This window comes from Homo sapiens, chromosome 11 (assembly GCF_000001405.40).
Source record: "Homo sapiens chromosome 11, GRCh38.p14 Primary Assembly".
Lineage (NCBI taxonomy): Eukaryota > Metazoa > Chordata > Mammalia > Primates > Hominidae > Homo > Homo sapiens.
In genome coordinates, this window is record NC_000011.10 from 87,541,888 (window position 1) to 87,567,809 (window position 25,922).

The 25,922-nt window shown below is 38.7% G+C and overlaps 1 long non-coding RNA gene across 3 annotated transcripts in view; it reads left to right on the plus strand.

The window, feature by feature from the left end:
- LOC107984361 (uncharacterized) overlaps positions 1-25,922 on the plus strand; it is a 552,293-nt gene that overhangs the window by 182,135 nt on the left and 344,236 nt on the right. For all 3 annotated transcript variants that reach the window (XR_002957260.2, XR_002957261.2, XR_001748316.2), the window contains one exon: positions 11,412-11,482. This is a non-coding gene — a long non-coding RNA (uncharacterized LOC107984361). The remainder of the gene's footprint in view (positions 1-11,411; positions 11,483-25,922) is intronic.

Sequence of the window (25,922 nt, forward strand, 5' to 3'; positions counted from 1 at the left end):
GGGAATAAGCAGATGTGCGTTTGTGTTTGGTGGGTGGGGTGACTGCACCTGTAAAGATAAGCTGTCAATCTGCATTGCCATGGTGAAGTTTTAACAGCTCACCAGGAATTTCCTTGTGGGCAAAATATGAGGGAGACATGTAGCCTTTCATCCTGTAACCATCTTTTTTAGGAACCAAAAGGGGGAGGCAGGTTTGCATGACCCAGTTCCCAGCTTGAATTTTCCCTTTGGCTAAATGAGTTTGGGGTCCCCAAATTTAATTTCCTTTCACAAATCCAATTATATTCTTAGTGTATTAGTCCATTCTCACACTGCTATGAAGAAATACCTGAGACTGGGTAATTTATGAAACAGGTTTAATTGATTCACAATTCTGCATTTCTGATGAGGCCTCAGGAAACTTACAATTATGGGAGAAGGCAAAGGAGAAGCAGGCACCTTCTTCACAGGGTGGCAGGTTGGAATAAGTGCAAGCAGAGGAAATGGCAGATGCTTATAAAACCATCACATCTTGTGAGAACTCGCTCACTATTATGAGAATGGCATGGGGCAAACAGCCCCTGTGATCCAATTATCTCCACCTGATCCTACCCTTGACAGATGGGGATTATGGAGATTACAATTAGAGGTGAGATTTGGGTAGGGACACAGAGCCAAACCATATCATCCTGCCCCTGGCATTTCTCAAATCTCATGTCTTTTCACATTCCCAAACCAATCATGCCTTCCCAACAGTACCCCAAAATCTTAACTCATTTCAGCATTAACTCAAAAGTCCATAGTCCAAAGTCTCATCTGAGACAAGGCAAGTCCCTTCCGCCTATGAGCCAGTAAAATCAATAGCAAATCAGTTACTTCCTAGATACAATGGGACTACAGGCATTGGAGAAATGCTCCCATTCCAAATGGGAGAAATTGGCTCAAACAAAGGGACTACAGGCCCCATGAAAGTCCAAAATCCAATAGAGCAGTCATTAAACCTTAAAGTTCCAAAATGATCTCCTTTGACTCCATGTCTCACATCCAGGTCAGGTTGATGATGCAAGAAGTGGGCTCTCACGACCTTGGGCAGCTCTGCCTCTATGGCTTTGCAGGGTATAGTCCACTTCCTAGCTGCTTTCACAGGCTGGTGGTTGTGGCTTTTCCAGGTGCACAGTGGAAGCTGTTGGTGGATCTACCATTCTGGGGTCTGAAAAATGGTGGCCCTCTTCTCACAGCTCCACTAGGCGGTACCCCAGTGGGGACTCTATGGGGGCTCTGATACCGCATTTCCCTTCCACACTGCCCTAGCAGAGGTTCTCCCTAAGGGCTCCAGCCCCACAACAAACTTCTGCCTGGACATCCAGGCATTTTTATACATCCTCTGAAATCTAGGCGGAAGTTCCCAAACCTCAATTCTTGATCTCTGTGCACCTGCAGTCTGAACACCACATGTAAGCCACCAAGGCGTGGGGCTTGCACCCTCTGAAGCAATGGCCTGAGCTGTACCTTGATCCCTTTTAGCCATGGCTGGAGCAATTGGGATGTAGGGCACCAGGTCCCAAGGCTGCACACAGCAGAGGGGCTCTGAGTCTGGCTCACAAAACCATTTTTCCCTCCTAGGCCTCCAGGCCTGTGATGAAAGAGCTGCTATGAAGGTCTCTGACATGCCCTGGAGACATTTTTCCTATTGTCTTGGTGATTAACCTTTGGCTTCTCGTTACTCATGCAAATTTCTTCAGCCAGCTTGAATTTCTCCCCCCAAAATGGGTTTTTCTTTTCTATTGCATCTTCAGGCTGCAAATTTTCCAAACTTTTATGCTCTGTCATCTTTTGAATGCTTTGCTGCTTAGAAATATCTTACATCAGATACCTTAAATCATTTCTCTCAAGTTCAAAGGTCTACAGATCTCTATGGCAGGGGAAAAATGCCACCAGTCTCTTTGCTAAAGCATAGTGAGTGGGACCTTTACTCCAGTTCCCACCAAGTTTCTCATCTCCATTGGAGACCAGCTCAGCCTGGACTTCATTGTCCATATCACTATCAGCATTTTGGTCAAGGCCATTCAACAAGACTCTAGGAAGTTCCAAACTTTCCCACAGCTTCCTGTCTTCTTCTGAGTCTTCCAAACTGTCTTGACCCCTGTCCATTGCCTAGTTCCAAAGTCGCTTCCACATTCTCAGGTATCTTCTAACAATGCCCCACTACCTTGGCACCAATGTACTATATTAGTCTATTCTCACTGCTATGAAGAAATACCAGAGACTGGGTAATTTATAAAGAAAAGAGGTTTAATGGACTCACAGTTCCACATTGCTGGGGAGGTCTCAGGAAACTTACAATCATGGAAGAAGGCAAAGGAGAACCAGGCACCCGTTTCACAGGGTGGCAGGTCAGAGTGAGTGCCAACAGGGGAAATGCCAGATGCTTTAAAACCATCAGCTCTTGTGAGAACTCACTCTCACAAGAACAGCATGGGGGAATGGCCCCCATGATCCAATTATGTCCACCTGGTCCCACCCTTGACACATGGGGATTATGAGGATTACAATTCAAGGTGAGATTTGGGTGGGGACACAGAACCAAACCATATCACTTAGTTATTTTGAAATGTACAATAGATTATCTTTGACTATAGTCACCTTGTTGTGCTATCAAATGCTAGATCTTATTCTATCTAATTATATTTTGTACCCATTAATTATCCCCCACCACACCTCCCCCACTATCCTTCCCAGATTCAGGTAACCATCATTCTACTCTCTATCTCTGTGTTAGGCTGTTCTTGCATTGCTATAAAGAAATACCTGAGACTGGGTAATTTATAAAGGAAAGAGGTTTATTTGGCTCATGGTTCTCCAGGCTATACAGGAAACATGGCACCAACATCTGCTTGGCTTCTGGGGAAGCCTCAGGGAGCTTTTACTTATGGGGGAAGTTGAAGTGGGAACAGGCATGTCACATGGCAGGAGCACGAACAAGAGAGTGGAAAAGGATGTGGCACACACTTAAACAACCAGATCTCATGAGAACTCACTCAATATCACGAGGACAGCACCAAACCATGAGGGATCTGTCACCATGACCCAAACACCTCCCACCGGACCCCACCTCCAATGTTGGGGGTTACGGTTCACCATGATATTTGATGGGGACATATATTCAAACTATGTCAATCTCCATTAATTCAATTGTTTCACATTTTAGCTCCCACAAATAAGTGAGAATATAAAAAGTTTGTCTTTCTGTGCTTGACTTATTTCACTTAAAATAATGACCTCCAGTTCCATCCATGTTGCAAATGACAGGATCTCATTCATTTTTATTGTTGAATAGTACTAGGTTGTGTACATGTATCAAATTCTCTTTATCCATTTATCTGTTGAAGGACACTTAGGTTGCTTCTAAATCTTGACTGTCATGAATAGTACTGTAGTAAACATGAGAGTGCACATATCTCTTCAATATACTGGTTTGCTTTGTTTTGGGTATATACCTAGCAGTGGGATTGCTGGATCATATGGTGTTCTATTTTTAGCTTTCTGAGGAAGCTCCAAACTGTTCTTCATGGTGGTTGTGCTAATTTGTATTCACAGCAACAGAATGTAGGCTTCCTTTTTCCCCACATCCTCACTGGGATTTGTTATTACCTGTCTTCTGACAATTTTTTGTTAGTAAGTCTGGGATGGATTTGGGCTCTGACAAGGCTCATGATTAAGTAGCTCATCCAATATTTGGTCCTCGGTGCAGTAGAAAAGGATTAATTCAATGTAATTTATCAACAAGGAAATAAATCTGGTTAATTCAAATGAGCCTAAGTAAATCTTTCTTGTTCTTAGAGGCAATAACTGAATAAAATAAAATGGAAAAAGATATAAGGACACCCATCCATTAATAAAAGGAGTAGTCTCGTTTGCATTGGTTACTGATGTGTTTCAGCTGAGTCTAATTTTAATTATCATTTGAAATACATTTACTACAGCAACAAAATAAGAGAGTACACAAGTCATCACTCAGCTGCCACTTGCCCTCAGAACATAATGGAGCCATAGTACTTTGGTTCACAGTGAGTAATTTCTCTTTGGGGCTTGGTGAGAACTCAGATTCTCTTAGTTCAGATATCAATCTTAATTGAATGTACATAATGACAAAACACAGACAACAGAACAAAGAAGAAGGGCAGCTAAATAGCTCTGCTTGAGTGAATTATAACTCGACATTTTCTGGAGAGGAGATGCCAGTGAAACAACAATGTTAACATTGTCATGCATCCCAGGATGATGGGAGGTGCTCCACTTCTATTAATGACAGGCTCTGGAAGTCATAACTTCACATCAGCATTCTGAGTTCTCCCATGCTGGTGACTGTGCACACAAGGACTGAGCACCAATGAGCCCCACTGTGCTGTGAACACAATATTAAGGTAGCTGCCTCCGCTACACTTTTGTATTCAAAGCCTATTCAGAGCTTCCATTTAGCCTCCCATACTTATGTCTCTGCTAAACAACTCCATTCTTTTGAACCATTTTTATTTTCTTGCTTGTGTTGTATTGGTTATCACAGTGCTTGGCACTGAGTAGGTACTCAAACGTTTGAATCAATGATCATGATAATTTATATTAATGATAGCAAATGAATTAAAGCAAATGTTAAATGATAGCAAACGTTATTAAAGAAAACTATGAAAATGATATAACAAGGAGCGGCAATAGCAGCTACCATATATTAAATGCCAGAACTTTTCAAGTTGTCTTTTTTGAGTCTTCACAGAAACTTTGTAAGGTAGTTGTAATTGCTTCTATTTTACAGTTCTGAAAAATTAGAATCAAAGAATTTAAGTAATGTATCCAATATTACCCAGGTAAGATTATCTAGATATATCTTATTTTGATGGAGGAGTAGACCTAAGTACTGCTTATTTCTATATTCATTTTTTGTAGAATGAAATTATGCTTTATATATCATATAAGTAACCACATTTAATACACTATTCGTATGTGTGTGTGTATATATATATATGTATATTAATCTATTATCTGTCTCTCTTAACATATGAGCTCAAGAGGGCAGAGATGGTTCTTATTGCATATTTGTATTTCAAAATCCTTGCAGAATCTACTTAAAAATTCACCAATGGATCTTTGTTCGTTTCCTCTTTGAAAAGTCTCTCTGGGCATTTTATCTGTTGCTTGAGACTAGCAGAATGTGCAATTGCTTTGATTTAAGCCATATTAGTTCAATTGTATTTAAAGTATTTAATGTCAAGCACTTAAACTGTCCAGTACAGCTCAGAAAGAAATCAAATTAGAAATGGTAAGGCTCTTGTTTTTAATACAAAAATGGGCATACATTAACTCTGTAATTGGAAAGAAATGGGCTCATTAAATTGGCTACAGCTTTGAAATCGACTGTCAGTTCATGTGCCCAATGGTTAAGCTCTTGAAAAGTGTCTATCTTAGAGCAAGTTTCTCTGACAACACAATATGAGTTAAAATCTTAAAGGCAGTGGGTTTATTTAGGAATAATTCCTAGGAGCAGAAGTGAGGGGGGAAGGAAATGACTGGGGAAGAAGAGAAGCCAATACAATGATCCCAATGCAATGGCCACTGTAATGAGGGACTGGTTGCTTAATCCTGTGGGGAAAATATTAATATGTCTAATAACCATCAACCTGAGGGAAGAAAGGAGAAACGTTTATCCATCAGCTCCTCTTCTCTTTGGTCAGGGATGGCTTCGTATGGTGTTAAATCTTCTACACTTCTGGATTATGGATATGTGAGCAAGTTGAGGTAGGAAGAGGGACTCTGGGTAATCAAAACCTGCAGAAACCTGGTTGTTGGGGCAGTGGTTGGAATGAGAGAGGAAGCCAAGATGGCTTTCAGTGGTTTTCAAGAAGTGTTAGATACACTTGGGTAATTAAAAATGCTTTTATCAAGATAGATTTACACCTAAGAAATAAAGAAAAAAGCAGGATAAAAAGTGTTCTTTTTTTGTCATCACATTAATATGAAGGGCAAATCACCACTAGCTTTTAGGGAAGAAGTAATTACAAAAAAGTATTATGAAACAAAAATTTCTGATAATGTCCAGCCTATCCAGAAGACAATAGTGTGAATCTATTAGCTAAGCTATTCTCTTACCTTCTATATTAAAATAATTTTTGCATATAAAGTTTTTGTCATAATCAGTGAATAATCAGTGATGTTCTGAGCATAATGCTTTTGTTAATGTTGATATTATTACCTATTCTTGTTTCACCAAGACGAGCCGTTAACTTGGTTTAGGCAACATCTTTACTGTCTTCATTGAAGTAAAAGTTGACAGATATCTACTGCTTCTTTATGCTTACAATATTAGCTGTTTTCCAGTCTAGTATTTTAACTTAAAAACTAATATTTTAAACCAGTACATTAAAATAAAACATGACATACATGTGAGTTCATAGAGTGTAATTTCTGTACATTTGAACAATGCAGTGACATGAAAATTGGGGTTACTTTTGAAGGTCAGGGTATTACCTTGCATCATGCTATGTGAATGTTAAATTGTTTTTATTTCATGACCTATCAGCCTTCTTGAGCAGCACTGCTTTCTAATATAGGCTAGCGATTGAAATAATCTGTCTAGAGCTTTGACTACTGGCTGTGAGATCTCTACAATATCATCTTTGGTAGGAAGCCTGAACTACCATTGTAAGATCTTAAGTATGGTTCCCTGGAGGACTGGATGAAGCTTACCACAAAACTGTTATGCTTGGAAATGTTTTCACAGAAGGCAAGGGAAGATAAAAACCAAGAGAAAACAGTAACAAAAGAAATAGCAACCTCATATGAATGATAGAGAAGATAATTCTGAAAAATGGAAACTTGAAATTTCAGGTCACAAAATATACAATACCATGTAGAAGCAGTAAAAATACATCAACATCTAGTCACAGTAGTGAAAATTAAAAATGTCAAGGAAAATAAATAATATCAAAAGCTATCAAAGGGGAAGCAAAGATTGCCTTTAAAGAAACAGAAATTAGACAAAGGATAGATGCTAGATAAGGAAGAATGGATTTGGAAAGAAAATAGGATAATATTGTCCAAGTGCTGTGGGAAATTCATTCTTAGCCTGGAATTTTATACCTAGTTAAATTATCACACAGTGAATGAAAGTAAAGGCATTTTTAGGTGTGCAAAGACTAAACCCACAATCTCTCACTTAAATAACTATTTGAGGATAAATTTCACTAAAGAGAGGGAATACGATACGGGGGTAAGCACAGATATGTATAAAACTTAACTATTGACCATAAAAATGTTACGTACTTGAGCCTTTTTTTATGTTGAAAGATAGTTATAAAACTCTAAGCAAAAATAGACTAGGAGTGTGAAAGCATGCTATTGTTCTTGTAATATCTGGAAAGAGGATAGAAATATTGAATAACTTTACCCTTTGTTAAAAACAACTAGAGAATGTAGGTAACATATGTTATAATTGAAAGTCAGTCTTGAGGATAAGGATATTGTAGTTAAGCAAACACCAGCATATATTCACTATATATCTGTGTTTTTACTTTGTGACCATAATTAATTTGACAATGTAATTTATCATCCAAATTGGGACATTTTTGAGAATGACAGGTGGCATAGTGAATAATAAAGCTAGGAAACAGGCATGCATGAACTTGTAATATCCCAAGCACATTAAGCCATATAGTCAGTTAGGCATGGTGGCTCATGACTGTAGTCCCAGCACTTTGGGAGGCCAAGGCAGGTGGATCACCTGAGGTCAGGAGTTCGAGACCAGCCTGGCCAACATGGTGAAACCCCGTCTTTACTAATGATACAAAAATTAGCTGGGTGTGGTGGCTTATGCCTGTAATCACAGCTACTCGGGAGGTTGAGGCAGGGGAATCGCTTGAACCCTGGAGGTGGAGGTTGCCGTGAGCTGAGATCGTGCCATTGCACTCCAGCCTTGGTGAACTGTGGTAAATACAATTAGTTTTCCTCCATAAAAATCATCAAGTTTCTTGAGCCTTCATGCAAATTGATGCCCCCTCCTTCTCCATGCCCCAATCTTTCTGTAACATCTCGTCCTTTTTTTTAAAATGTTAAGTAACTTTATTAGAAAGACTGACTAGTTCTGTAGATAGACATGTGAATGACAATTTTCTTCAACTTTTATTTTAAGGCCAGGGTATATGTGCAGGTTTGTTATATAGGTAAACTCATGTTTTGGGGATTTGTTGTACAGATTATTTTATGGCCCAGGTATTAAGCCTAGTACTCATTAGTTATTTTTTTTCCTGATTCTCTCCCTTCTCCCACTGTCCACCCTCTGTTAGGCCCCAGTGTCTGTGTTCCCTTCTATGTGTCCATGTGTTTTCATCATTTAGCTCCGATTTATAAGTGAGAACATGTAGTATTTGGCTTTCTGTTCTTGTGTTAGTTTGCTAAAGATAATAGCCTTTAGCTTCAGCCATGTTCCTGCAAAGGACATATCTGTTCCTTTTTATGGCTGCATAGTATTCCACAGTGTATATGTACCACATTTTCTTTATCCATTCTACCACCAGTGGGCATTTAGATTGATTCCATGCCTTTGATACTGTGAATAGTGCTGCATTAAACATATGTGTGCATGTGTCTTTATGATAGAATGATTTATATTCCTTTGGGTATATACCCACTTTGGGATTGCTGTGTTGAATGATATTTCTGTTTTTAGGTCTTTGAGGAATCACCACACTGTTTTCTGCAATGGTTGACCTAATTTACATTTCCACCAACAGTGTATAAGCATTAACTTTTCTCTGCAACCTCACAAGCATCTGTTATTTTTTGGCTTTTTGATAATAACCATTCAGACTGGTGTGAGATGGTACCTCACTGTGGTTTTGATTTGCATTTCTCTAATGATCAGTGATGTTGAGGTTTTTTTTGTATGCTTCTTGGCTACATGTTTGCCTTCTTTTGAAAGTGTCTCTTCATTTCTTTGGCCCACTATGAGTTCCTTATACATGCTGGATATTAAACTTTTGTCAGATGCCTAGTTTTCAAAACACTTCTCCCATTCTGTAGGTTGTCTCTTTACCCTGTTGATATTTTCTTTTGCTGTGCAGAAACTCTTTAGTTTAATTAGATCCCATTTGTCATTTTTTGTTTTTGTTGCAGTTGCTTTTGGTGTCTCCATCACGAAATCTTTGTCTGTTCTTATGTCCAGAATAGTATTGCTTTGGTTGTTTCCCAAGGTTTTTATAGTTTTCAGTTTTACATTTGAGCTTTTAATCCATCTTGAATTAATTTTTGTTTATGGAGTAAGTAACGGGTCCAGTTTCAATCTTTTGCATATGGCTAGCCAGTCATCCCAGCACCATTTATTGAAAGGGTAGTCCTTTTCCACATTGCTTATTTTTGTCTGCATTGTCTAAGATCAGATGGTTGTAGGTGTGTGGTCTCATTTCTGAATTCTCTGTTCTGTTCAATTAGTCTATGTATCTGTTTTTGTGCAAGTACCATGCTGTTTTGGTTTCTGTAGTGCTGTAGTAAAGTTTGCAGTTGGATAGCATGATGCCTCCAGCTTTGTTCTTTTGGTTAGGATTGCCTTGGCTATTTGGGCTCTTTTTTGTTTCATATGACTTTTAAAATAGATTTTTCTAGTTCTGTGAAGAGTGTCATAGTTTAATAGGAATAGCATTGAATCTGTAAATTGCTTTGGGCAGTATGGCCATTTTTATGATATTGGTTCTTCTTATTCATGAGCATGGAATATTTTTCTATTTGTTTGTGCCATCTCTAATTTCTTTGACCAGTGTCTTTTAGTTCTCCTTGTAGAGATCTTTCACCTTCCTGGTTAGCTACATGCCTACGTATTTTATTCTTTTTAGTCAGTTGTGAGTGGGATTGAATTCCTGATTTGGCTCTTGGCTTGACCATTGTTTGTGTATAGGAATGCTAGTGATTTTTGTACATTGATTTTGTATCCTGAGACTTTGCAGAAGTTGTTTATCAGCTGAAGGAGCTTTTGGGCTAAGACTATGGGGTTTTCTAGGTATAGGATCCTGTCGTCTGAAAACAGGGATCATTTGACTTCCTCTTTCTATTTAGATGCCCTTTAGTACTTTCTCTTGCCTGATTGCCGTGGTCAGGACTTCCAATACTATGTTGAATAGGAGTGGTGAGAGAGGGCATCCTGGTCTTTCTCTGGTTTTCAAGGGGAATCCTTCCAGCTTTTGCCCTTTCAGTATGATGTTGGCTGTGGGCCTGGCATAGAGAGCTCTTATTATTTTGAGGTATATTCCTTCAATATCTAGTTTACTAAGAGTTTTTAACCTGAAGGGGTATTCCATTTTATTGAAGGCCTTTTCTGCATCTGTTGAGATTATCATGTGGTTTTTTTTCTTTAGTTCTGTTTATATGATGAATCACATTTATTGATTTGCATATGTTGAAGTAACCTTGCCACAGTGGTTTTCAAACATTTTCCAGGCAACAGCCTTATATATACAAATGAAAATGTGCTGTTTTGATGAACATAAGTTGATAAGGACCTCATGACATTTGTGTTCCTCATAGTTTCATTAGCCCCACTTTATCTCTTAATTCAAATAACAACAGAGAAGAGGATTGAACTGGTCACTGACAAGCAAATTAATTTATTGCTTTTAGTAGGTTCCTTCATGGTCAGTCAGCTTTGGTCAGATTGTGGATAGGGCCAAAGGCAGGAAAGTGAGGGTCATTAACACAGTTCATTCTCCATTCAGAAGTTGACTTACACATCTACAACCATCTTTCTGTAAAAGACTTAAACTTATTTTCTTTATTCCTGGACCTTGGATCTGGTTTACATGATACTAATTCAACTTGGAGTGAAATCTTAAGCTATTTTGCCTACTAAATATAGGGAGTTTGGAATCATTTCACACCTGATTTCTCATTTTGAACCATAAAAGTCTAATCACTTTGATTGACAATAGTGCTTGCAAAAGCATACCAGCTACTTGAATAATTTTTTCTTTCTTTCAGTGTGAGTTTAATAATCATCATCATCATCATCATCATCTTTATAGATAAGGATTTTAAGCCATGTGTTTTTTGTACACTGTTTTCCGCTGCTGCATAAACTGGGTTAGCCTTTCATCTTCACTTGTCTTTCTTAAGTTTCCCAAGTTTCTATGGTTTAGAGAGGAGAAACATTTCTTTGTGTGAATGCAATAAAGGCAGAATTCACTTTTATATTCTACCATGTCATCATTACATAATTTAGCTTGGCAAAACCCCCAACATTCCTAAGGACCTCCTGAGCCCAGTTGAGCACATATCTGTGATGGATAATGACTATTTTCTCAGTTCAGTTAAAGGTGTTATTATTTCACATTTCTGCTGAAGTGCTTCCCAGGAATGAATGAAGCTTCTTGACTTTGCCCCTTTTTCTTTGTCTTTAGGCTCCAGTTAGTAGTTGCTGCCTAGGAGATGAAGTGAATTTCACAAGAAAGACATAAGAAGCCAACAACTGGTAATTGTTATTAATCATTAAGGAGGTGGCAGTAAGGTATAGTTATAACGTGAGACAAAATTAATGTGGATTCATAACATCTTAAATGTATGCACAGTGCAACAAATTTTGCTTTTGATTATTCTATAAGTGGTCGTGTGCTCATTCTGGAGAAAATGAAGTGCTCCTTGGAAGGACATGAAGTAGAAATGTTCACCACTTTGTTTTGGTTGCTGTAAGGAGAGGCATCTTATAACAGACAGATTGTTTATAAATCAAGGTCTAGCATGAAGAAGATAATCAGATATTCTATACTCTGAGGAGGAAAGAAAGAGAAAGAAGTGCCTGAAGGTACCATTTTTCTTTCTTTGCAAATAACAGAGATACTGGATGGAGGGGCTAATGAAAATAGGGCACCCATCAGGTGCTGCTCCCTCCCAGGAGGTAAGAGTCAGAGATGATGGGCTGGGCCTGGCCTTTGATCTAGGGGTGGAGGCAAGAGGATCCTTTCTGGGAATTCAGCCCATCTCCTAATGACCTTTCAGCTCCAATGCTGCTGTGTTGGATCTAATAACACCTGGAAACTCTCTATCGTCAGAGAAGCTTCTAGGGGCTCTTCTTGCTCCAGGAGAAGTCCTGCCTGACTGAGCTAGAGCCAAAGGTGAGGGCAAGAGATTCTGCTTGCCTTGAAAGCTAGGAAGCAGCATCTCAAAATACAAACTCTCATTTATTAAGTGCTCGTTATCTTTTATGACTGTTTTCAGTGCTTTAGTTATATTGACTGATTGCATCCTAATGATAACTCTGTGAGTTAGTAATTTTATATCCATTGTATGGATGATAAAATTCAGGAGACTCAGAAATCTTTTATACCTTATTTATGGTTTATTAGTAGAAATAAGCCAAGCTGGAATTTGTACGTTGGTCTGGTTTTACCAATGGTACAGGTTAACCACAACTCAAAACTGTTCAACCACATGTCAACTAACAGAAGGCAGGGGAGCTAGTATATTTAGGCCCCAGGGCTTGACCCTTTGTGCTTATCTCTTCTCTGCCTATACAGTCCCTAAATTTATTTTAGTCTGTTTCATGATTTGTACTTCTGGTCTGGCCTCTTCCTGGGCTCTATATTCAAATCCCATTTCACAGAGGGGTTGAATAAATTGGTCAAATTGTTGCAGGTGTTTAGAAATGGAGCTTACACTCAAGTCTAGGTTTATCTGATATTCAAATCAGTTATGTATATATTGCTTTAAATTGCTTCCAGGGGTCAACATCACATTTTTAAAGTTGTATACAGGATCTAGCACTATGCCCAAATCTCAATTGGTAATAAAATTGTAATGGTTGAGTGAACAAAAGAAGGAGTTAAATGTAGAAATAAGCTTAAGTTTGAGGAAGCTCATTAGCCAAAAAAAGGGGGACATGAGGCATGCTTTTTTCTCATGTACTCCATTATTTTGTCCATATAGCAGCCGTATCTTATGGGTAAGCCCTTGTACATATTGAGAATAGTAGCTTCTGTGCTTTTTGGGCTGAATTCACCACCAGAGCTCTGACTACGTTTACTGAGTTCCAGCATCACCCATCTGGTTCTTGGTTGGCAATCTTCACATCTGTGTCTGGCCTGTGCAACGCAGTGTGTCCTAAACTGAATTCTTCATCTTCTCAAGCCCCTGCCTGTCACTATTTTTCTCCATTGACTTCAGTCCCCCAGCTTGAAGTCTTGCCTAATTTTGGGGACTTCTCCCTTTTCCTTGTCTTCCATATCAATCACTTGCTAAGCTCTGCTGAGTTCTTTCTGAATGATGTCTTCCTTTCACCGTTGTGTTCCTGTTGTCTCTTTTCTCACTCTGGTTTCATTATCTCTTACTTGAAGAACTCTCATTGATGAGCTCTTCCTTACGGAATAAAGAACAAACATGTAGTCTGGAACTCCAGGCCTTTCACCACTTGACTCAAACCTCTTATTGTCTGCAGTTCTATTGTACATCCTTTGCCTTAGGGCAGCACTTTATACAAACTGCATTCCAGAGAGCAATAAGAGATTGACAGATCATTCCTCCCTGCCCCCCTGCCCCCTTGCTCTGAGGGGTTGCTGTCAAGGAAAGGAAGCTGGGTAGGTGGGCCTCTGGCCTCCTATCCCTGTTCCAAACAGATGAGCTCCATTTTGCTTATTGGGATTCCACATAAGATTTTATTTAAACTAACTGTTTGTTATATATAAAGTTTCGGTGCTGCAAAAGAAATAGCACTTGAATATAAAATTTTCTTGTAATTCTCAGCAAGGCAAAGTACTTCTATAGAAGTGTGCGCCCTTACAGATGCAGCAATGATGAACACGCACTTGGACAAGGGAGGGGAAGTGGTTCTTATCCCTGACACATGTGGCCCTTGCTGCTGTGTCATTCCCCTGTTGGCTAGGGTTAGACTGCACAGGCTAAACTAATTCTGATTGGCTAATTTAAAGAGAGTGACAGGGTAAGTGGTTTGGCGGGAAAAATGGTTATGACAGAGCAGGTAATTGGAATGAGTCAGGGTGGAGCAGGTAATCGGAATGAATCAGGGTGGAGTAGGTAATCAGAATGAGTCAGGGTGGAGCAGGTAATTGAAAAAGTTTGCTTTATGAGGAAGTTAAGTTTAAAAGTAGAAGGCAAAGAATTGAGCCTACTGACATACTGATTCATTGAAAAGAAATTTAGAACTCATATCTAACAGTTTTCATGAATTTATCAAATTTGAAAACTACTGATCTCTCAGAAAAATGGAGTCTGCTGTTATTTGCAGTCCATGCTCCGCATCTTCTGATGTCTGGGTGCTTGTGTTCATGTTCCCCAGCATAGTTTCCACACATGGAGACTTTAGAACCTTTATTACTGAGGAGAAAGCAAAGCCATCAAAGCAAGGTGGGGGTGCTGTGCACAGAGGACATTGACCTAGAGAGGGATGGGGAGCATTCTGAGGGTAGAGCTGTGAAGGGCCTTCACGGCAGCCCTTGCCACCTTCTCTTAACTACTTTTCCAGCCTTATTTTTCACAACATTCTTCATGAAAACATACTTCAGCCATATAGAACTTATTTCTCTTCCAACTACATGTCCTTTCATCTCATTTATACATGTTGACTAATGTGGTGCCCTATTCCTGGAGTGCTCAGCCTTTCATCTCCACATAGCCAAAGTGTGCTCATCCTTCCTGGCCTAGCTTAAATTACCTCCCACAGAAAGCCGCCTCAAGCCACATCTGAATGTAATCTTTCTCTCCAGCCATATCTTTTTATATATCCCTCTGTTATTTTACTTAGCACTGCCCACATGGAGTTGCCTATTTAGTTATTTATGTTCAAGGCTCAGTCTCCCGACAATACTGTGACCTCTGGAAGGCATCCCCTAATTTTGAGTTTGCAGATGTGTGCCAGTTGTCATGGCCATCTTCAAATTGGCTAATTTAAATAGCCAAATTTGATAGATTCTTTCACGAGTAGCTGAACATATTGGACTGCTTACATCTATTGTGAACATAACATGGGCACAATAGCATATTTAAACCTTGTGAGAACTCCTGGAGCTGCTAATTTAATTTCCTGTGGTTATGGGAACAACATTTTGCAGTGAGCCACACAGTCGTTCAGAGGCAATAAAACTCCCTCTTCTGCCAGCTGTATTTATAGCATGGTCAGGGAAGAACATTCTTCCCTTAGTGTCTAGAAGGTTTCAAGGAAGATGTAGGCATTATTAATAAGCCTTGTCAAGGTTTATGCCAGCTCCCTTTTGGAGACAATGATTTGTACTTTATTCTAAGCATGAAGTTTCTTTCTTTTCTTTTTTTGGTAAGATTTATATCTGACTCTATCTAGTAAATTATCTTTGCCAGGCATAGATTTTTCTCACTCTGCAAAGGGTTTAGAAAATTTGTAACCTAACTCTTATTTTCCAATTTGAAAAAAACCTGATGTTCATGTTGGTGTTCTTGTCAGTATCTGTGAGACAGAGACTGTGTTAGAACCTGTTTGATGAACAAAAATGAACACAAGGTGTATGGCTGACAATAACTGAATAAAAATATTACCAGTGGAACATGGATGACATAAACTTTGAATAATAATGATAAAAATTTAACCTCCAGACTAAGAGAAAAATTAACTAGAAGGATGACTTTTCTGCTTGAAACTCTAATCATTAAAGGGGAGCTAGTAAAGATTCACTATTATAATGATTGCTTTAATGATAGATACAGGGAGGTGATTTAGTTGAGGAAAATCTATTACTTATGTTGGGCTTTTACGTCTGCTATGCTTTGAAATCAGTCAGCAGATATCAAATGCATGTCCACTAAGTGTGAAGCACTGAGCAAGCCTAGAGGGTGGACCTTCGTATGAGCAGGAAAATCATGGTGGACCTTCGTATGAACAAGCCTAGATGTTGGACCTTCGTATGAGCAGCTTGTGAGTTTCTTAATAGCAGACTATATTAATTCATGCAACAAATATTTATAAAGTATCTTCTACATGCCAAGCACTGTACAGGTGCTAGTTGGCAGGCCTTTGTAAAAGAATAAATTACTAGATTGTGTGTTTTGGGGGGAAGCCATTTTAAAATTCTTCTAATATATCTCTATGAAGTATTTACTGTGTGCTGGTGAAGGGTGGTGGGTGAAGAAGAGAAAACTGCATTCACAGTAATGCTGAGGACTGAACTCTGATCTTTTTTCCATCTTGCCCAAATTCCTATTTAAGGGTCCTGGAGAGTCACACCCTACAAACAGTAAAATATCCTTAATTTTTTTAATTAAATTTAACCTGGTATAATATGGCTTACTTTCCAAGCTGACTCTGGTATAGCATCATGTGACAAATAGCAGACCCTTTTATCTTAACTGAAGTATTTAGTATTTAGACAAAACTTAACTCTCTTAACTAGTGTCAACTAAAGGATACTTAAAATTGGCTGGGCGCAGTGGCTCATGCCTGTAATCCCAGCACTTTGGGAGGCTGAGGCAGGAGGATAACCTGAGGTCAGGAATATGAGAGCAGCCTGACCAATATGGAGAAACCCCATCTCCACTAAAAATACAAAATTAGCCGGGCGTGGTGGCACGTGCCTGTAATCCCAGCTACTTGGGAGGCTGAGGCAGGACAATAGTTTGAACCCAGGAGGCGGAGGTGAGCTGAGATCATGCCATTGCACTCTATTGCACTCCAGCCTGGGCAACAAGAGTGAAACTCCATTTCAAAAATAAAATAAAATAAAATAAAATAAATAAAATAAAATAAAATAAAATAAAATAAAATAAAATAAAATAAGAATCCCTAAAACCCACCAATGACTTGTAAGCTCTAACTTCAAAATGTCCTTTTTGGGTCAAACCAATGTATATCTTCCATGTGTTGATTTATGGTTTAACCTGCAATTCCTATCTCCCTGAAATGTATAAAACCAAACCATAGCCCAACCTCCTTGGCACACTTTCTCAGGACCTTTTGAGACTCTAACCCCTGGCCACCATCCCTCATATTGGCTCAGAATAAACTTCTTTAAATATTTTGGCAGAATTTGGCTTTTTCCATCATCAATGCTGTAGTGCTAAGTGCTCTGTTGATTTTATTTTTTAACTCCTTAGGCTTAAGTATCTAATCAGAGCAGGCCGTAGAGTAGGTACTCACCAAATGTTTGTGGGAAAAATGATAAATGAACAAACTGTTGAAAGATACTTTCCAAAAAAGAGTAAATTCTATGTGTTAAAGATTGTTGTTCAACTCATGAGGGGACCAGGCAAATGTGATAACTGATGCAAAAGAGAGTACAATCAAGGGCACACTTATATATCAGAAATATTTAAATAAATGAATGGTGGCAAAACTAATTTTTCCTCAGAATGGGAAGGAAGACAGTTGAACCTGTAATGGACAGAACAGAATTTGCACGTCTACAGACAAGAATTTATCTTGCATTGCTATCAGTTACTTAAAATTTACAGTGGCAAAATAGCTCAAAGATGAAGAGAAAGTATAATAAGGTATCTTGGAGGAGTGTCCTCTAGACAATGCATATGTTCCCTTGGAACAATAAATTTTTTTTTTCTACAGAATGGATTGAGTGGGGTGCAATTTCCATAGCTTCCAAAGTACAGGGAACCTGTGAGTAATCTGTCACAAATTGTTGAATACGAAATTGCTGTTCTCATGTAGTACTGTTACTGGTAGTTCTATATTCTTGGAGTCCCCAAGATGGTGGTGGGCCACTCCCAAGATGGTGGTGGGCGGCTCCCAAGATGGCGGCAAGCCTTTTGTTCTCTGATCTGGGGTTCTTGGCCTCAGGATTCCAAGGAATGGAACCTTGAGCCATGCGGTGAGTGTTATAGCTCTATTAGAAGCCATGGGTCATGGAAGAGAACTGTGAACCCAGAGACTAGTGTTCAGCTTGATTAGGGTGAACCTAGGCACTTAGTCATGCAGGAACAATGGCAAGCCTCTAGCCTGATTGGGAGTGGCAATTGGTGCCTCACTGGATCAGAAGTGCAGTGAACACCCTGCCGGATCTGGAGGGGTGGAAGTCAGCAGTGGGTCTGCAGTGGTGGAGATCAGCAGTGGCAGACAGTGAACAAAAGCTCAGCTTGAGCCAGAACAAACATGGACCAGAAGAGTGTGCAGTTGCAAGATTGAATAGAGTGAAAACAGAGCTCCCATACAATGGGAGGGGACCCAAAGGGCGTTGCCACAACTGGCTTGAATGCCTGGGTTTATATATCCTGACCATTGTCCTTCCTCCTGTGCTCTCAGGCAACAGATGATTGACTATTTCTTTACCTCCTGCTTTTAGCCTAATTGGTATTTTAGTGAGCTCTCTTTACTACCTGATTGGTAGGTGTGAGCTGAGTTACAAGCCCCGTGTTTAAAGGTGGGTGTGGTCACTTTCCCCAGCTAGGCTTAGGAATTCTTAGTTGGCCTAGGAAATCCAGCTAGTCCTGTCTCAGTACCATATTGGAACTTATTTTGATTCCTTTTTAAGGAATGAATTTTACTTTCCTGTGAGATAATGTCGCAAACTAATTCACATTATTTTTGTCATTATTTTGACATTATTTTAAAGCATCTCCATGTACATTATTAAATTTGTATAACAACTCTGTGAAGTAGTCATGGAGAGGATAATTATTTGTTTTGCAATGAGCATAATGAAAGAGGAAGTGGTGGTACTGGGACTCACACCCCCATTTTCTGATTACAAGCCTCTTGTTCTTTCTATCACAAAGATGACACCAGCAATAAAGTGTGAACAAATCCTTTATGTTTATTTATGTTGTAGACTTTGGCCTGGAATTTAATTGGGAACAGAAAATCATCACATCTCTTTATCTTATGGATAGGTATGCAAAAAAGTGCATTTCCTAATTTCTTTACTCCAAATCTTTCTTAAAATGACCATGGATAGAAAATGCTTGAATGTCATCATTCTTCCATAATTATTCTATGACATAAGCCAATAGTCATTGAGAACCTTCCAACACTGAGCACTAAATACCTTCTAATTTTATTTCCTAGTTCTAGGAACTAGGAAATGTATTTTCTAAATCAGGTCTCTCTCTCTAATCCTTACTATCTGGGGCTGTATTTTTCATTTTCATCACCATCATTATTAACAACATTTGTTAAGAGGCTTCTTGCCATATTTTTTCAGACACTGCATTAACTAAAATATGTTATCTCATTCTTTACAATAATCTTAAAGAAGTGTATTAGTCCATTCTCACACTGCTATAAAGAACTACCTGAGACTAGATAATTTATGAAGAAAAGAGGTTTAATTCACTCAGGATTCTGCAGGCTTAACAGGAAGCATGACTGGGAGGCCTTAGGAAACTTACAATCATGGCAGAAGGCGAAGGGGAAGTAAGCACCTTCTTTACATGGCAGGAGGAGAGACAGAGAGTGAAGGGGGAAGTCCTACACATATTGTGAGAACTCAATTCACTATCATGAGAACAGCAAGGGGGGGTCCCCATGATTCAGTCACCTTCCACCAGACCCCTCCTCCAACACATGAGGATTACAGTTTGACATGAGATTTGGGTGGGGACACAAAGCCAAACCACGTCAAGGAGACATATTTTACACCCATTTTATAGATATCAAAACTAGATCTTAGGGAGGGTTATTAATTTAGTCAAGAAGACAGAAAATGAGAGGTTAGATATTAGTTATGACTATCCTAAATTATTATGTACAATGCAAATCATTGTATGTTCTTTAGGCTATGTCCGGTGATATGCTGTTACTTTGTGAATGATTATCAATGATAAGAGATATGAAATGCTAACACAGTGATAAACATCCGTTAAACTCAAACATTCACAACAAAAGGCCAGGAGATTGATGCTTGAATCACATGAGTACCGTAGGAGAGAATGAGAGGAGACTGCATTGCATTTTAGACTCTGGGAAACATTAGTAGTAGAGCTGGATGACTTTTTTATCATAATAAACCTGTACTCAGGCAAGGCTTTTTTCCTCCTTCATGATTTTTCATGAGAAAGCTTAGGATTCTCAGATGTACATTTGTATTCTTCCTCCATCACCTCATATGTGTTCCCTATAGCATGATGTCTGTGGTTTAATTACTCAAGCAATGGGGTTCCTCTAATTTCTCCTAGAAGATAGTTTCCCAATCTAATTGTCTTCTATACTTTGCCATTTCCCTTGATGGGCAGGCTGCATTCTCCTAGGCTTAATTTTGTTTTCTTATTTTGGCTTCTTTCTGTTATAAGTATCCCCATTTGGGCAATAGCATTTTTTGCTTAAAGTTCTTTTTTTCTTTTTTCTCCCCAAACCAGGGGTTATCAAACCACACTCTGGTCTTTGTCACTTGGCTGAACAAGTGTTGTCCTCTTTAACTTAATCTCGCCCTTTGAAGTCAGTTTTCCCATTTCTCCCTTACCCTTTCCCTACTTTCCTTTTACCCACACAGGAAAGTAAAGAGCAATTGTGTTGAAGTCCATTAGAAACAACAAAGCAGGTTGGGCATGGTGGCTCATGCCTGTAATACCAGCTACTTAGGAGTGGGAGGCAGGAGGATCGGTTGAGCCCAGGAGTTTGAGACCAGACTGAGCAATGTAGTGAGAACCATGTCTCAACAAACAAATGAATAATCAAGCAGAAAGCCAACAAAACCTCCAAATTGCTAAACTTTTTGAATTATGAAGTTATGAAATAAAACTCTACTTCTCTCCATCTTTTTCTCTGGGGCCCCATTCAGAAGGCAGAAGGGTCTAATTTAAAAGTCTACTATATGCTTTGCTTTATTCTTCTTGTAAATTTTAGACTGTTAAGATGAAGACTGAAAACACTCAAAATAAGTATGTTCTGTTACCCATGTGTTCCATTCTTTGATGAGAAATAGTTCCCTAAAGCCCACTGTACCTCAGTCTTCTTATCTGAGTAATAATATGTCCTTTAACTTAACATGGAAAAACCCTGTTATCCTTGGCCTCTGGGGAGCTTCCTGTCTTCACACAAGACATATCTTTAGCCACTTTCAGATCAGAACTTTGGTTTTCTGATTGCCCTGCACATGAACTTCTGCTCCCCTACTGATTTGAAAACAGATTCCTGGATCCATGCTCAGGCTCATACTGCTTTTCGCGTAGGTTCTCCTAACCTATTCCTCTGGTGTCTATCACATTTGACCTGCTTCATCTGCTCTGGATCAATAGCAACTGGACACAAATCATCTTGTGTATGGTCCGAAATAAAATCTTTTATTAATGCGATTGCTCCTGAGGGCACTGGGAAGTTGTCTTCATTTGGAGTTGGGAGACATGGATTCAAGCTCCAGCACTGCTGTTTATGTCTTATGTTATCAAAGCAACATTCTAGTTTCTAGGAAGCTCTGTTTCTGCATAAGTAAAATGGGAGTTACAATAGCAACTGCTTAACATATTTAATTGGAGCATAATTCATGCCAAAATATTATCTATTAATGTGTTTGATATGGTTTGGCTGTGTCCCCACCAAAATTTCATCTTGAATGGTAGCTCCCATGATTCCCGCATGTTGTGGGAGATGATTGAATCATGGGAGTGGTTTCACCCATACTGTTGTCTTGGTAGTGAATTTCTCATGAGAGCTGATAGTTTTATAAGGGGAAACCCCTTTTACTTGTTTCTCATTCTCTCTCTCGCCTGCTACCAATATAAGATGTGCCTTTCACCTTCCACTGTGATGGTGAGGCCTCCCCAGACACATGGAACTGTGAGTCCATTACACCTCTTTTTCTTTATAAATTACCCAGTCTCGGGTTTGTCTTTATCAGCTGTGTGAAAACGGACTAATACAGTGTTAATTATTTGGAAGTTTATTTTCTGAGATAAAGACCATTAACCTATTCAAAATGTCATATAAATAATTCCTTATGATCTGGAACAAATTCTTAATACTAGGGGTTCTGCAGGGGCTTAGGGCCAAAATCACCTAAGTGTATATTAGTATTATGATCTTGGTACTTGCTAACTCAGGATTCTAGTTTTCTTTCTCAGATACTTTTCTAACAAAAAATGTGTTCTAACTACATTTCTTATTCCAGATATTTTGATTTTTCTTCCTGTCACATTGCTACACATTCTGAAATGAGACAGGTCTTCAATATGAAAATTTGTGGTTGCTTTGCCTCTCTGAAGATACACAGTTATGACAACTAGATTTTTTTTATTTCTTCATTAATGGGTATATAAACCAAACCATAGCAAATTTACTCCATTACTTTTCTATTAAAACATTGGCATTTGATAACTTGTTTTAGAGTAATTCATTTTTCTCAACAAATTTGCTCTAAAATGTGCAAACTGTTGGCACATGACACTGCCATATCACTTATTATTGTAGCTGACTGTCCAGCTTTTTTTTTTTTTGGCTATGGTAATTCATTTGGTGTGTATCTCAGATGGATGTCTTCTTGTCTTTACGTGTGATGCATATTTTCTCCAATATAATCTTTCAAAAGGATATTTCATCTCAGATTTATTTCTGTTAGAAATATGACACTTTATCCCAGAAATGTTGGTGTATTTGATTTTAATTGTTTTTGCTCTCTCTGTTTTGTTGCAATCACAGATGAAAGGAACTCTGGAAAGTAATTCAATCAGTTGTTCTCTCTTAGGCAAGAAGGTGCCCAGTAGAACCATTTACAGGATCTATGCAGGGAGATCTGCAAAAAGGACAATTTCACTCTTCTTTTGGGCAATCACTTTTTTAAAAGATAAAATTTGCAATTCGAATGCAGTTTTCATCCTTTTAGAAAAAAACCCAGTTTTTCCTTAAATTAAAATTAGCTGTGCCCATTGAATTGCATGTGTTGTCATAAGTGAGGTTTGGCTATCATCTAGTTTTATGTTTAAAGTGCTTTCTTACAGCTTCCACTGATTGCTCTATTTTGTTTGCTTTTATTCTGTAGTGATTTTCAAAATATCAGCCCAGTTTTAAAGTATACCTGAGGTTCTGCCTGCTTGATATCAAGAACGAAATTGTAGCTTGTGACTCTTCCCTGTGAACCATGTATAATTAATTTCATTTTTACCTTTCTTGTCCCTCCCTAGAATGTATTCTGCTTGGCCCTTGTTAATTTTATCTGGAGTTATAAACCAGTTTATTATCCCACTTTCATGATTGCTTACTTACTGTCCTGTGGAGTCAGCATACTCCCTATTTTTTCCCTACTGGTCATTCTCCCCTCTGCCTACTTAATTCCTACTAAATTTATTTTTGCCGATGTTAGAGTCATGGAATGCTCTTATCTGCAAACTTCTTGATTTGTCTGCAAGTGTCATTATTGAACACTTAACATTCTGTCTTCTGGAGGACAGACAAATCTGGATGGCCCTAGAGAATAATTTTCTCTTCCCTTCCCTAATTAGGAATTTGTCCTTTACTGAGGCAATACTCTTCTGAAGATTCTGCTTGGTGTGTCAGGTGATCAGTGTCCTCCCCTCTCCCCCACCCCCTTCATTGACTGGGGGAAACAGGAAATATTCCAAGCCATGTGTGAGCTTTCTGAATTATTCTGCCTGATATTATTTGGCATTTTGTTTGTTTGTTTTTTTCCTGGTCCCAGGTATTTTCCTCAAATGCATGTGATGATTAGTACTCAGGTGAAGTTTTGAAAGGGACCCTTTGTAAATCTCCAGAAGTTGTCCTGTAACTCTCTCCTCTCTGGTTCCCTACATTGTAAATTCTTTCCACATTGGCCTGCCTGAGTTCTGAACTCCCTGAATATCCTCTCAACTGACAGAGATGGCTGAACTCTGTTTGAGTACACTTTCCCTGAGTACACCTTCCCTGTGCTACAGTCTGAATACTCTCTCCAGGCAGTAAATTTGATGATCATAGGGTTCACCTAGCTGGTTTCCCCTTTTAGAAATTAATATCCTGCCCAACCCATTGTCCAATGTCTAAAACAGTTGTTTCATAAATTTTGCCTTTTTTTTTTTTGAGACGGAGTCTCCCTCTGTTGCCTAGGCTGGAATGCAGTGGCGTGATCTCGGCTCACTGCAAGCTCTGCCTCCCGGGTTCACGTCATTCTCCTGCCTTAGCCTCTCGAGTAGCTGGGACTACAGACGCCCGCCACCATGCCCGGCTAATGTTTTTGCATTTTTTTTTTTTTTTTTTTTTTTTTTTTTAGTAGAGAAGGGGTTTCACCACGTTAACCAGGATAGTCTCAATCTCCTGACCTCCTGATCCACACCCCCTCAGCCTCCCAAAGTGCTGGGATTACAGGCATGAGTCACCCTGCCTGGCCAAATTTTGCCTTTTTTAAGGAGGTGTGAGGATATAGTTAGTTGCTGTTACTCCATCACATTCAGATATGAACATGTCTGAGTTGTGACTGTCAATACTAATCCTACTACAGTAGGTACTAGGGGCAGAATGGTGGAGACAGCTCCAGTGTTATTCTTACCTGTGCCCCTTGAAGGTTCTATTTCCAAGTGTCTTCCTTCTGTGGACACTTAAATTTTTCCACATCATTGGTCTGGCTGTGTCTCTTCAGGCCCTCTTTCCTGGTTTCTACTTCTTACTGCCAACTCATCCATCTTTATTTGAATAGCTTAAAGGAAACTGAAATAAAAAGCAATGCTCCAAGCTTAACTTAATCATCTTTTAGGCTTACGTTGATTTCACTTTCTCTGTTCAATAAAAGTAGTATTACTATGTTACAGTCATCTTTATCTCTAGCCCTTCACTTTCTATATCCCATTATAACCAACTCAGTCATTCATTCAGCAACTATTTATTGAGCACTGACTATATATTAAATACCCCTTTAGGCTCTGAAGATGTTCAATGAACAATACAGATAAAATCCCTGATCTCTTGTAGTTGATCTTCTTATAGGGGAAGGCAGACCATGATGAAAACAAATTATGTAATATGCCTGAAGCTAATATCCACTGTGGAGAAAAATAAGCCTAAGGGAGGGATAAGAAATGGAAGGGACAGGAGGTTACACCTCAAGGAACTAGAGAAACAAGAACAAACCACACCCAAATCCAGCAGATGAAAAGAAATAACAAAGATTAAAGCAGAACTAAATGAAATTGAAACAACAACAACAAAAAAATACAAAACATAAATGAAACAAAAAGCTGGTTCTTTGGAAAGATAAACAAAATTGATAGACCGTTAGTGACATTACCAAGAGATGAAGAGAGAAGGTCCAAATAAGCTGAATTGGAAACAAAATGGGAGGCATTACAACCGATACCACAGAAATACAAAAGATCATTCAAGGCTACTATGATCACCTTTACATGCACAAGTCTAGAGGAGATGGATAAGTTCTTGAAAATATACAACTCTCACAGATTAAATGAGAAAGAAATAGAAACTCTGACCAGAGCAGTAACAAGTAGTGAGATTGAAACAGTAATAAAAAAATTTCCAACAAAAAAAAAGTCCAGGACCAGATGGATTCACAGCTGAATTCCGTCAGGCATTCAAAGAAAAATTGGGACCAATCTTACTAAACTATTCCAAAAGATAAAGAGGGAGTCTTCTCTAAATCATTCTTTGAAGCCAGTATCACAGTAATACCAAAACCAGGAAAGGATATGACAATAAAAGTAAACTACTGACCAATATTCCTGATGAACATAGATGTAAAAATCCTCAACAAAATACTAGCTAACCAAATCCAATGGCATATTAAAAAGACTACATACCATGATCAAGTGGGTTTAATACCAAGGATGCAGGGATGATTTAACATATTAAAGTCAATAAATGTGATACATCACATAAACAGAAACAAAAATCATATAATCTCAATAGATGCAGAAAACAAAAATTATATGATCATCTCAATAGATGCAGAAAAAGCATTTGACAAAAATCTAGCATCCTTTATTATTAAAACTCTCAGCAAAATCGATATAGAAGGCACATAACTTAAGGTAATAAGAATCATCTATGAGAAACC